At 35.6% G+C, this 14,950-nt stretch overlaps 1 protein-coding gene across 1 annotated transcript in view; it reads right to left on the reverse strand.

Moving 5' to 3' along the window:
- The window catches only part of SAMTOR (S-adenosylmethionine sensor upstream of mTORC1), a 120,729-nt gene that overhangs the window by 3,939 nt on the left and 101,840 nt on the right, over positions 1-14,950 (reverse strand). The window contains exon 4 of the mRNA NM_152556.3: positions 9,476-9,590. Coding sequence (NP_689769.2) covers positions 9,476-9,590 — 115 coding nt within the window. The remainder of the gene's footprint in view (positions 1-9,475; positions 9,591-14,950) is intronic.

Genomic DNA, 14,950 nt, shown 5'->3' on the forward strand with positions numbered 1-14,950 from the left:
CCAATAGTTATTAACAAAGATATGACCTAATACCTTAATCCCTCACTCATGTTAGTGTATATACAAGCCGGCCACATAGTCATCTGGACTGTTTATTAGGAAAAGTGATATGCAATGTTCTAGTACCTGAAAAAAAGATGCTTTTCTTCTTCCCTTTTTCTTAAAGGCAGCTTTATTGATGTATAAGTGACAAAAAGCATAAGTCTGATAAGTTGTGAGGTATTTTTACACTCATGAAACCACTGGCATGGTCGAATTAATGAACAGATCCAACACCCCATAATTTTCCTTATTCCCCTTTATAGTCCCTTCCTTCTCTTCCCCTGCCAGCAGGCAACCATTGAAGTTTGTATTTCCTAGAATTTTATATAAATAATCATTTTGAGATTTTTCTTGCAGGTATTAATAGTTTATTCCTTTTTAAATTGCAGAATGGTATCCCATTGTATCAAGGATGTACCACAGTTGGTTTATCCATATACACCTGTTTATGGATATCTGGGTTGTTTCTAGTTTTGGTTATTACATTTCAAGCTGCTGTGAGTATTCCCATACATGTGTTTGAATCAACATTCTTTAATTTGTCTTGGGGAAATATCTTGGGTGGCTAGATCATACAGTAGGTGGTGTAGTAGGTTTAATTTTTAAATAACTCCCAACTGATTTCAAAAGTGGTTATGTAGTTTCATGTTCCCACCAGGAGTATGTGAGAGTTCCAGTTCCTCCAAATCCTTATCAACTCTTGGTATAGCTAGTCTATTTCATTTTAGTAATTGTAATAGATGTGTAGTGGTATTTCAGTTTTAATCTGCATTTTCCTAATGAGTTAGTGACATTTATCATCTTTTCCCGGACTTATTTGCCATCCAGATATCTTCTATGTTAAAGTGTCTGTTCAAATATTTTGCCCATTTAAAAATAATTGGGTTGCTTTAAATAAAGTTTTAAGTATTTTCTTTCTGGGTTTTGAGAGTTCTTTATTCTTGATGCAAGTCCTTTATGATATATGACTTGAAAATATTTTCTCAGTATCATGTGGCTTATCTTTTCATTCTTTTAACAGTGTCCTTTGAAGAGCTGAAGTTTTAAATTTTGATGAAGACTAATTTATCAATTTGTTCTTTCTTAGATGTTGCTTTCAAAGTCAGGTCTAAAAAGTCTTTTCCTATCCCAAGGTCATAAAGACTTTTTTTCAAAATGTTTTCCTTTAGTAGTTTTATAGTTTATGGCTTTTTCATTTAGGTCTATGATACATTTTGAGTTTTTTTTGTTTGTTTGTTTTTTTGTTTTTTTGAGATGGAGTCTCACTCTGTTGCCCAGACTGGAGTGCAGTAGCGTGATCTTGGCTCACCGCAACCTCCGCCTCCTGGGTTCAAGTGATTCTCCTGCCTCAGACTCTCCTGAGTAGCTGGGACTACAGGCACGCACCACCATGCCTGGCTAATTTTTGTATTTTTTGTAGAGACAGGGTTTCACCATATTGGCCAGGCTGGTCTCGAACTGCTGATCTTGTGATCCGCCCACCTTGGCCTCCCAAAGTGCTGGGATTACAGGCATGATCCACCACACCCAGCCAAGGTCTTTTTTTTTATATGGAGTGTGGTATGGTTTGAAGTTTCTTCTTTTGTATATGGATACCCCTTTGTTTCAACACCATTGTGGAAAAGACTATGCTTTCCATCTTGGGCAAAAATCACGTACGTAAGTTTGGGCTTATTTGTGAACCATCTATTATATTTCACTGATATTCCTGAACATCAATACCATGCTGTCTTGAATACTGTAGCTTTATAATTTTGAAATCAGGTAGTGTTACTCTCCAACACTGTCCTTCAAAGTTGTTTTGAGCTATTATTCTAGGTCCTTTGAATTTCCACACAGATTTTAGAGTAAGTTTTTCAATTTCTACAAAAAAGCCCACAAGAGTTTTGATGAGGACTGCACTGACTCTATACAGACAGGGTCTCACTCTGTCACCTAGGCTGGAGTACAGTGGTGTGATCTTAGCTCACTGCAACCTCCACCCTCTGGGCTCAAGCAATCTTCCCACCTCAGGCTCCTGAGTAGCTGGGACCACAGGCGAGTGCCACCACATCTGGCTAATTTTTCTATTTTTTTTTTTGTAGAGACAGGTTTTTGCCACATTGCCCAGGATGGTCTCGAACTTTTGGACTCCAACAATCCACTTGCCTAGGCCTCCCAAAATGCTGCGGTTACAGGTGTGAGCCACTGCACCCACCTTAGGTCATCTTTACTTTCTCCTAATTTGTGGTTTGCAGCATGTGGATTTTTCTACTTTTGTCAGATTTATGAGCTACATATTTCATATATACTCACATATAAAATAAACATTTCATATTTTTGATGCCAGAGTATGGTACTGTTTTTAGTTAAAATTTCTGATTGGTTGCTGCTAGTATATACACACAAATTTCTGTATATTGATCTTGTCTCTTGCAACCTTGCTAAACTCATTTGTTAGTTTTAGGAGCTTCTTTGAAGATTACACAGAAAAATCAAATAGATGATCGATGACACCTGTGAATACAGTTTTACTTCTTTCCAATGTGCATGCTGCTTATTGCTTTTTCTTGCTTTACTGAATTGTTAGAACCTCTAGTACAAATGCTAAATAGAAGCTGTAAGAGTAAACATCCTTATCTTGTTTTTGTGAGAAAAGCATTTTTCTTTCACCATTAAGGATGATGTTAGCTGGAGATTTTTCAGATACCCTTTATCAGGTTCAAGAAATTCCCTTAAATTCTGAGTTTTTTTTTTTTTTTTAAATCAGGAAAGTCCAGATGTTGAATTTTGTCAAAGCTTTGTCAAATGCCTTTTCTGTGCCTACTGAAATGATCAAATGACTTTTTCTTTTTGAGTTCATACGATAGATTGTTTTTGAATTTTAAACCAAGCTTGCATTCCTGAGATAAACCAAACTTGGCCATTATATATTATCCTTTTAAAATACCTTGTTGGATTCAATTTGCTGAAATTTTGTATAGAACATCTGTATCTATATTCATAAGGGATATGGATCTGTAGTTTTGTTTTATAACATTTGTCTGATTTTGATACCAGAGTAATGGCCTCATAGAATGAGTTGGGAAGTATTCCATCCATTTCAATTTTATGGAAGAGAATATATATAATTGGTATTATTTCTTCTGTAAATATTTGGTAAATTTTAACATGCAGGCGTTAGTGCCTGGAATTTTCTTTGTGGGAAGGTTTTAAACTGCCAATTCATAATTTCTTCAATAGATTTAGGGCCATTCATCTTATCTGTTTCTTCATGAATAAGCTTTGGTGGTTATGTCTTTCAAGGAATTGGTCCATTTGAATTGTCGAATTTATTGGCATAAAGTTGTTCAAAATATTTTCTTATACTTTTAATGTTGGTAAAATCTGTCATGATGTTACCTTTTTCTCTTTACTTCTGATCAGTAGGCTAGAGTTTATAAATTTTATTCATCTACTCAAAGAACTAGCTTTTGCTTTCATTAATTTTCCCTATTTTTCTGAAAGTTTTCTATTTCATTTGATTTCTGCTCTGATCATTATTTCCTTTTGGATTTACTGCTCTTCTTTTTTCTTCTAGTTGAAAAGTTGATGTCATTGCTTTGAGACTGTTACCTAATAAAGGTGTTTAGTGCTATAATTTTCCCCTAAGTACTACTTTTGTGACTTTAGTGACATCTATGCATTTTGATATCTTGTATTTTTATTTCAAAAAAGTTCTAATTTCCATTGTGAATTCTTCGCCAAGTGTTCAGTATACCTGTTCTAGGAATTATTTAGAGGGGTGCTGAAATCTCTATAATTTTATCAATGTTTATGTTTCCTTGACAGTTTATCAGTTTTTGGTTTACATATTTGGAAGCTTTGTTATTAGGTGCATAGACCAAGTTTGGTTTAGGATTGTTATGTACTCTTGATGAACTGACCCTTTAATCATTATGGAATGTCATTTTTATCCCTGATCATATTCTTTGCTCTGAAATATACTTTGTCTAATTTTAATGTAGCCATGCCAGCTTTCTTTTCTCCATCTTATTGCTTTCACTCTATTTGTGTCTTAATAATTGAAGTACATTTCTTATGGGCAACATATATTTGGGTCTTGGCTTTTTTCCCCCAATCTGCCAGTCTTTGCCTTTCAATTGGGGCATTTAGGCCATTTCTATTTAATGTGTTGATTGATGTGATTAGGTTTTAAATCTATAATCTTGCTATTTATTTTCTACTTGTCTCACTTGATTGTTGTTCCCTTCCCCTCTTCCTTCATCTTTTGAATTAACTAAATTTTTTATGATTTTATTAGCCTTGTTGGCTGATTAGGTATAACTCTTTTATTTCAGCAGTTGCTTTAACTTATCAGTCTACCTTCAAGTGATATTACACCACTTAATGTATAAGAACCTCAAAGTACTAATATTATCACAGTGGACTGGTTCCAGGAACCACTGTACATACCCAAATCCACGTTCAAGTCCTTTATATAAAATGGTATATTTGCATACACCCTATGCATATCCTCCCATATATTTTAAGTCATCTCTAGATTACTTATAATATGTAATGCAATGTAATGTTATGTAAATAGTTGTTATGCTATATTATTTTTATTGTTGTATTGTTATTTTTATTTATTGAGACAGGGTCTCCCTCTGTTGCCCAGGCTGGAGTGCAGTGGCACAATCTTGGATCACTGCAGCCTCAACCTCCAGGGCTCAAGCGATCCTCCCATCTGTCTCCTGAGCAGCTGGGACTACAAGTGCACCATGCGTGGCTAACTTTTTTATTTTTTGTAGAGATGGGGTCTTGCTGTGTTGCATAGGCTGGTCTCAAGCTCCTGGGCTCAAGCAGTCCTTCTGCATTGGCCTCCCAAAGTGCTGGGATATTACAGGTGTAAGCCACCATGCCCTGCCGCAAATATTTTTGATCTGTGGTTGACTGCATCCACAGATGTGGAATCCAAGTATATGGAGGGCCAAGTATATTTCTGATTCTCTCATGTCACCCTTTATGCTACTGTCATAAATGTTCATTTTATCTATATTAAAAACCCCACTCTATATCATTATTTTTGCTTAAGTTGTTGTATTAGTTTGCTAGTGCTGTTGTAACAAAGTACCATGAACTGGGTGGCTTAAACAATATAAATTTTCTCATAGTTCTGGAGGCTTAGAAGTCTGAGGTCAAGATTGTGGGAAGATTTCTTCCTTTTGAGGGCTGTGAGGGAGAATCTAATCAATGCCTCTTGCCTTGCCTCTAGTGGTTTGCTGGCAATCTTTGGTGGTCTTTGGTTTATAGATGCATCTCTCCAATCTCTGTGTTCATCTTCATGTGACGTTCTCCCTGTGTGCTTGTTTCTGAGTTAAAATTTCTCCTTTTTATAAGTATACCAGAGTCTTATTGGACTAGGGGCCACTGTAATCACCCCTGTTTAATTTGATTACCTCTGTAAAGCTCCTATCTTCAAATAAAGTCACATCTTTAGAGTTAGAACTCCAACATATCTGTTTTAGGTTGACATAATTCAACCCGAAACAATGGTAAATTATCTTTAAAGAGTTTAAACAACAAGAGAAAATCTTTTTAGCTGTATAGTTATCACTTCTAGTATTCTTCATTCCTTTGTGTAGAGCCATATTTCTAACTGGCTAAAGCACTTCCACCTTAACATTTCTTATAATACAAGCTTGCTAATATTGAATTTCAGCTTTTACACATCTGAAGAAAATCGATTTCATCTTCATTTTTGAAAGACATTTTGGCTGGGTATAAAATTCTAGGTGACTTTTTCCTTCAGTACTTTAAGGTGTCTTTACAATTTCTGGGAGCTTTTAAGATTTTATCACTAGTTTTAGAAGTTTGATTTGATGTTCCTTGGTGTAATTTTCTTGATGTTTCTTTTGTTTGGGGTTTGTTGGGCTTCTTTGAATTTGTGAGTTTAAAGCTTTAATTAAATTGGAAAGTTTTTGGCCATTTTTTCAAATCCCCCACCTTTTGGGGGATTCCAATTATGCTTATATTTAGTTGCTTAGATTTGTATCACTGATGCTCTTCTATTTAAAAAATTTTCTGTTTCATTTTGGATAGCTGCTATTGTTGTATCTTCAATTTCCCTTTCCTTCTGCAACATCTAATATGCATTAATCCTATCCAGTATGCATCTTCACATCACACATTATAGTATCTGTCTTTAGAAGATAGATTTGGGTATTTTAAAATATCTTCCTATTTCTACTTAGCTTTTTATACAGTTTTGATTTTTTTAAATAATAAAACTGTATTGAAGCATAACACATATAAGGAAAGAATATAAACTGTGTAAAAGTTTAGCTTAAGTAATTTTCCCAAACTGGTATTATCTCTATTTTAATGTCCCTGTTTCTGTGTCAGTTCAGGGTTGGTCATTGTTGGCTGATTTATCTCCTCACTGTGGGTCCTATTTTCTTGCTGCTTTGCATGGCTGTAATTTTTTTTGGATGCTAGACATGGTGAATTTTACCTTGGTGGGTTCTACATAACTATGGATTGCTATAAATATTCCTGAACTGTGTTCTGGGATGTAGTTAAGAAACCTGGAGACAATCTGAAGTTTTTGGGTCTTACTTTTAAGATTTGTTACATGGGACTAGAGCACTAGTATTTAGTCTAAGGCAAATTATTCTCCATTATTGAGGTAAGACCCTTCTCTGTGTACTCTATTAAATGTCTGTGAATCTTGAATGCTCCAGTATGGCTGATGGGAACAGGTACAATATTAATACTTCTCTGTGTGACTGCTGGCCACTGTAATCTCTAAGCCTTTTGGACAGTACCTTATCTAGTCTCATGTAGTTTTCTCATATACATGTGTGCTGATTTGTACTCAGCTGAGTATTCAAAGGGGACCTTTTGCAGGCCTCTGGAGTTTTCCCTCTATGGCTTTCTTATTTTCAGTAGACCATTCTAGAAACTCTAGCTGCCTCGGTCTCCTAGGACTCTCAACTCCCTAGGACTCTTCACAACTCACAGAATCACCTGAACTCTGCTTGGGTTTCTCCCTGTGCTATATCCTGGAAACTCTCTCAAGGCAATATCCTAGAGTAATTGTAGGGCTTGTCTCATTTGTTTTCCATCTCTCAGAGATTACTGTCCTTCATTACCTGATGTGCAGTGTCAAAATTATTTCGAATATTTTGTTGCTTCAAGTGGAAGAGGATAAAGCTGGTCTATCTTATCCCATCTTGGCTGGAAGAGTAAGTCCCTTTACTCTGTTTTAAAATTAGTTATAGGATTCTGAACTGTGAAACTCTGATTCTACTACTTAAGTTATGTATAGCCGTCTTTTGTCTTCCCTGGTGACTATACAATTCAGTGTTTATAAACCTATCCATAAATAGATTTAATATTAAGCTTAAGGATCAGATCAAATGGTCATGGTGTCTCAGCAGTCCCTGAAGAACATCTCTCATGTATATCTTGAGGAAGGAAGGGAAGATAATCCATGCATGAAGCCACTTGGGCTTTAAAACTAGTTCCTGATGGCACAGAACTTCTCTGCAGTGGTAAGCTAAGAACAGTGATTTTATAATAGAGAAAACGAAAGTAGAAATAACAGTAATGGTTTTAGGACTTGCTTGTTCCTTGATGTTATACAGATTTAATCATGCTCATCAAAATGATTCATAATCAAAGTTTCATATGAAAGTTAAATCTTCATGCAGGAATTTACCAGTAGTAACAACAAACATTTATTTAGCAGGCACTGTATAAGAGCTACTATGCTTGATGCTTTAAATACTTTTTTTTTTTTTTCAAGAAAACATTACAACAACCTATGAAATGTGGTCTACTACTAACCCCATTATACAGATGAGAAAACTGAGGATCAGAGACTAGAAAATGGTGATGGAGAGGTTCAAACCTAGGCTGGAAACATGATTCTATTCTTTTATTTAAAAAAGTATTAAATATACTAGGCACTCTTCTAGGTACTGGGAATACAGCAATAGAGGGAAAAAAATCCCTAATAACTAATATATTAATACTCTAATCCATACTTTAAAAATAACATTAAAATGCATTTTGTAACTATTTAAATGCATTTTGTAAAAATTTTTATGTCTAGAGTTCTATCAAGAGTAAAATGGTAAACATAATGAATTAATGTTATTCTGGAAAAAAGTCTTTTTCTGATATAAATAATGTGCCTACTTTAGAGTTATCTATCTTTAAAAAATGCCTTTAACACAAACTCTTGGCATCACATGATTAAGGTAAAAGAAAGTTCAAGGTGGCTGGGTGCAGTAGCTCATGCCTGCAATCCCAGCACTTTGGGAGGTTGAGGCAGGTGGATCACCTGAGGTCAGGAGTTCGAGACCAGCCTGACCAACATGGTGAAACCCTGTCTCTACCAAAAATACAAAGTTAGCTGGGCGTGGTGGTACATGCCTGTAATCCAGCTATTTAGGAGGCTGAGGCCGGAGAATCACTGGAACCCGGGAGGCATAAGTTGCAGTGAGTGATCATGCCACTGCACTCAAGCCTGGGCAACAAGAGCAAAACTCCATCTTAAAAAAAAGTTCAAGCTGATAAGGTGATCCTGCTTCACTGAATTGAAATGATAGTGTCATAATAACTGACCCATAGGAAATGTTCTCAAAAGAAAGGATAGTATCTATCATTTATTGAGTTCCCATAATGTACCAGGCCAAGTGTTAAGTAGTTTCATCGACTCAAGTACAAACAAGCTGGATTTAATAAAGTTCTGGCTGATGCCAAAGCCCTTGCCTCTTTCTACTATTCCATAATGGCTCTACAACACTGTATATTTCAGAAAGAGATGCATTAAAAGAAAATAATAAACCAAATATAACAAAATGCAAAACCCAAACACTACAGCTATGTGGAATTCTGTAATCTACTGAAGTTTCTTTTTTTTTTTTTTTTTTAGACGGAGTCTCACTGTGTCACCCAGGCTGGAGTGCAGTGGCGCGATCTCGACTCACTGCCACCTCCGCCTCCCGGGTTCAAGCGATTCTCCTGCCTCAGCCTCCTGAGTAGCTGGGATTATGGGCGCTTGCCACCACGCCCAGCTACATTTTTTTTATTTTTTAGTAGAGACGGGGTTTCACCATGTTGGCCAGGCTGGTCTCAAACTCCTGACCTCAGGTGATCCACCCATCTTGGCCTCCTAAAGTGTTGGGATTACAGGAGTGATCCACCATGCCCAGTTGAAGTTTCTTAATTGCAATGATTTTGCTCTAACATAGTTTTAGATTATGGCTATTTAGATGATAAAGAAAATAAAGACAATATTTGGTTAAATGCTCAATTATTCACAAAATGTATTTAGTTTTGAAATCTCTCCTCAATGGGTACACAGGAAATACATTTGCTATTTTAGGGATGCAAAGACAGTGCTTTTCTTTTGTAAATATACATGTAAAATATTAAAGTCCAAAAACAAAACTATGCATACCTCTACAGCAGGTACAATATCTATGCCAACAGTTAGAAATTCTTCAAACTTCAGAAATGGGTTAAAGCAGCTGCCAACATCAAGTAATCTGATTTTTCCTGAGGCTTGTAGCAACCTAAAAACAGATATTTTATAAGAACAAAATCAAATATGAGAATGTAAGAAATCACATAGATTATCAGTTCTTTAACTTTTTGGTCTCAGGACCCTTTTACACATATAAAAATTACTGACGGCCCCAATGAGCTTTCATTTCTGTGAGTTATATCTATTAATAATGATCATATTTGAAGTTAAGATGAACAAGTCTTAAAAATATTCATTTATTAGACTTAAAAAGGATAGTAAAAAAGTACAGCCTTGTTTTATATATATTTACTTATTTAATTTTTTAAAAATTGAGACAAGGTCTTGCTGTATTGCCCAGGCTGGTCTTGAACTCCTGAGCTCAAGTGATCCTCCAGCCTCAGCTCCCAAAGTATTGGGATTAGAGGCGTGAGCCACTGAGCCTGGCTCCCCCACCCCCAACCCCCATTTTTAAAAAATATATTTTTTCAAGTCTCTAATGTCTGGCTTAATTGAAGATGAATGAATTCTAATATCTGCTTTTGCATTCAGGCTGTTGCAACATCACATGCTATGTAGTCTCTGGAAAACTCCACTCTACACTCAGAGTGAGAGTAAAAAACAAATGAGAATCTGTAACAATACGTAATACTATACACACTACTAGTCATTCTTACCCTTATTGGGCTATGGTTAAGGAGTTCTCGAATCAGAAAGGCTAAGACCATAAACTGACTCTGACCCTTAACATGTAATACGGGGATAATAGTGGTATTTACCCTTAGACTTTTTCCCAGAATTAATAAGATAATACATTAATACTTGACCCTATGCCTAGTACATGGTAAGTGCTCAAAAAGTGGTACATATCATTGCTCACTATTACCATGTTTTATAAAAAATTTGTATTTCTTCCACTAATGATCTTCCCTAGTAAAAGCAGAATTTGCTATATGCTAAATTCTGTAGTATAGATTCTAGTAAACTGAGTAGCAAAACATTTCTGAGAGTCTTAAAAAAATATACTTCTTATAAATTGAATTTTCTTTCTCAATGAAGTATCCTAAACCATTCAAGTTACTTCAACATTATGGAACAATCACCAATAACTTAATCATATCATGGATTAGCTTAATAACTGATCAATTGTCAGCAATATACTAAGCCTATTTCAAATTATTTGGCTTCGCTCCTTAATTTTTTATTTGCATAAAATATACACTCAGTGAGTGACCATGTAATTACCACTCAGGTCAAGACATAATGACTGCATCCTGGAAACATGACCCTCCCTGATGACATCCCCCACACCTTTATTTTAGGTAGTCACTATCCCTATTTTAGTCACTTATCCTTATTTATTCCCTTGATTTCCTTTTATAGTCTTAAGTACCTACGACTGAATGTCTACAGTTTAGTTTTACACTACATTTTGTAACTTGCTGCTTTCATTTGCTGTTGTTTTTGAGTTGTTTGTGCTTCTATAATTCACTTTTACTGCTGTACAGTAGTACACTTAAGACTTTTATTAGCATGGCATTAAGTCTAAAGATCACTTAAGGAGAATTAACATCTTTACAATATTCAATCTTCAAATTCATGAACATGAATAGTTATCCATTTACTTAAAAAACTGTCAATAGTTTTGATCATTTTCTCTAAAAAGTTCCCTCACATCTTTTGTTGGAGTTATATTCCTTGGTATTTCCTAGTTTTTGATGCTTTTATTATCTTTTTTCCCATGGATACACTTTACTTTTTTTTTTTTCAATTTCATTTTTTATTGTTGGTTACACAGATGCAATTGACTTGGATACAATAGTCCCCCCTTATCTGGTGTTTCACCTTTTGTGGTTTCAGTTACCCGCAGTTAACCATGGTCTGAAAATGCTCAACAGAAAATTCCAGAAATAAACCAATTCATGAGATTTAAATTGCGTGACATTCTGAGTAGCATGGTAAATTCTCACACCGTCAGACCCAGGACACGAATCACATCCATTTGTCCAAAGTATCCACGCTTTTTGCATTAGTCATTAACAGGATATCTTATGATCCTGATATCTAACAATTCACATAGGCATGGCTTCATGATCTAGGATTACTGAAAGCAGGTGATCCTCCTCCTCCTGATGTACGGTCAGAAGGTCAACAGTAGCCTAACGCTAAGTCACAATACCTATGTGATTCACCTCACTCCATCCCATTGTATGGGCATTTTATCATCTCACATCATAAGGGTAAGTGAAGTACCATAAGACACTTTGAGATACCATACTCAAATACTTTAAAAATTATGTGAGTAAATGAAGTACAATAAGATACTTTGAGATACCATACTCACGTAATTTTTATAGCATTTTGTTATAATTGTTCTATTTTATTGTTATTCTTCTTGTGCCTAACTTATAAATTAAACTTTATCATGGGTATGTATATATAAAAACATAGTATGTATAGGATTCAGTAATGTCTGTGGTTTTAGGCCTCCATGGGGGTGTCAGCATGTACTCTCTGTGAAGAAGGGGTGGCTACTATGCATTATTTTTTTTAGATCCAGCAGCTTTACTAAATTTATCTCGATTGTTTATCTGTATATTATTTTGTGTACTCCAGGTACATAAGTTCCTAATCTGTGAAAAATGACATTTGTGTTTCATCCTCTCCTATCACCCACCTACCCATCCATTTTTTACCTCCTTACCACTCTGCTGAGGACTTCCAATATGTTGGTAGATAGAAGTGGGCAAGTGGATGGACACTATTAATCTTACATCAGAAGGAACATTCCAGTGTTTCACCATTAAATGTAATAACTGGTATAGGTTTTAGATACTACCCTTAATAAAGTTGAAGTTCTTTTATAAACTTTTATTTTAGGTCCAGGGGTACATGTACAGGTTACACAGGTAAACTACGTGTCTCAGGAGTTTGGTGTACTGATTATTTTGTCACCCAGGTAATAAAGATAGTTCCCAATAGGTAGTTTTTTTTATTCTCTCCCTTCTCTGTCTCCACCCTTAAGTAATCCCCAGTGTATGTTGTTTCCCTCTTTGGGTCCATGTGTTCTCATCACTTAGCTCCCACTAACAAGTGAGAACATGAAGTATGTGGTTTTCTGTTCCTGAATTAGTTTGCTTAGGATAATGACCTCCAGCTCCATCCATGTTGCTAAAAAGGACATGATTTCATTCTTTTTTATGGCTGCATAGTATTCTATGGTGTATATGTACCATGTTTTCTTTATCCAGTCTACTGCTGTTGGGCATTTAGGTTGATTCCATGTCTTTGCTATTGTGAACTGTGCCGTGATGAACGTATGTGTGCATGTGTCTTTATTGTAGAATGATTTATAGTCCCTTGGGTGTATACCCAATAATGGGGGATTGCTGAGTCTAGTGGTAATTTTGTTTTAAGTTCTTTGAGGAATTGCTACACTGCTTTCCACAATGGCTGAACTCATTTACATTCCCACCAGCACTGTATTAGCATTCCCCTTTCTCTGCAACCTTGCCAGCAGCTGTTATTTTTTGACTTTTTAATAATAGCCATTCTGATGCCTGTGAGATGGTATCTCACTGTGGTTTTGATTTGCATTTCTCTAACGTTTAGTGATGTTGAGCATTTTTTCATATGCTTGTTGGACACGTTTGTCTTCTTTTGAGAAGTGTCTGTTCATGTCCTTTGCCTACTTTTTAATGGGGTTGTTTTCTACCTGCAAATTTGTTTAAGTTCCTTATAGATGCTGGATATTGGACCTTTGTCAGATGCATGGTTATATTTTCTCCCATTCTGTAGGTTGTCTGTTTATTCTGTTGATAGTTTCTGTTGCTGTGCAGAAGCTCTTTAGTTTAAGTAGGTCCCACTTGTCAATGTTTTTGTTAAAATTACTTTTGGCATCTTTGTCATAATCTTTCCCAGGTTTTATGTCCAGAATGGTATTTCCTAGGTTATCTTCCAAGGTTTTTCTAGTTTAACATTTAAGTCTTTTTAACTGATCTTGAGTTTATTTTTGTGTATGGTGTAAGAAAGAGGTCCAGTTTCAATCTTCTGCATATGGCTAGTTATCCCAGCAAATAGCGAGTCCTGTCCCCATTGCTTTTGTCAACTTTATCGAAGATCAGATGGTTGTAGGTTTTATTTCTGGGTTCTCTATTCTGTCCATTGGTCTGTGTGTCTGTTTTGGTACCAGTACCATGCTGTTTTGTTTACTGTAGCCCTATAGTATCGTTTGAAGTTGGGTAACATGTGATGCCTCCAGCTTTGTTATTTTTGCTTAGAATTGCCTTGGTGATTTGGGCTCTTTTCTGGTTCCATATGAATTTTAAACTAGTTTTTCTTAATTCTGTGAAGAATGTCATTGGTAGTTTGATGAAAATAGCACTGGATCTGTAAATTGCTTTGACAGTATGGCCATTTCAACAATAATGATTCTTCCTATCCATGAGCATGAAATGTTTTCCATTTGTTTGTGTCATCTCTGATTCGAGCATTGTTTTGCAATTCTTGTTGCAGAGATTTTTCACCTCCCTGATTAGCTGTATTCTAGGTATTTTATTCTTTTTGTGGCAATTGTGGATGGGGTTGTGTTCTTGATTTGGCTCTCAGCTTGAATGTTCTTGATGTATAGGAATGCTGCTGATTTTTGTACATTTATTTTGTATCCTGAAACTCTGCTGAAGTTGATCATCAGATCTGGGAGCTTTTAGCAGAGACTATGGGGTTTTCTAGATATAGAATCATGTCATCTGCAAACAGAGATAGTTGGACTTCTCTGCTTCTATTTGTTCCTTTTATTTCTCTTGCCTGGTTGCTCTGGCCAGGACTTCAGGAAATCATTTTATGCTTAGCTAGGGTGGTTTTTCCTTTTTTGACACAAATCCATGTGGAATTTTATCAAATGCATTCTATATATTTGTGCAGATATGACTAATCTATGTGGTAGAAAAAAATTCATTAATTGTATAGTGTCAAATCAATCTTGCATTCTTTGGAAGGTCCTAATTTGGTTTCTATATATTATTCTTTTCATAATCTGAGGATTTGTTTTATATGTCTGTGTGTATATACAGTAAATTCTGGCTACTTGTGGTCATTTGGTTCTATAAAGTGACCATGAATGTTGAATTAGTGAATGCTAAACAATGGCTCTTATGGAAACTACAGGATTAGGTCTCTGGTCATAACATTTTCATCAATACATACCTTGAATTTATATGTTTCTGTTTAAAAGCACTGTATTTAATACGTATTGTTGATGCATTAACATTGAACTCGTGGCCAACAGCACTATAACTCATGCCTGAAGGAAGCTTACATAACACATGTATTTTTCTTCGTTAAGGCACAATACAGCATTCTTGTGCTCAGGAACACTAGACTTCAACACCATATGTGGGGGTTGTTTTA

This window comes from Homo sapiens, chromosome 7 (genome assembly GCF_000001405.40).
Source record: "Homo sapiens chromosome 7, GRCh38.p14 Primary Assembly".
NCBI lineage: Eukaryota > Metazoa > Chordata > Mammalia > Primates > Hominidae > Homo > Homo sapiens.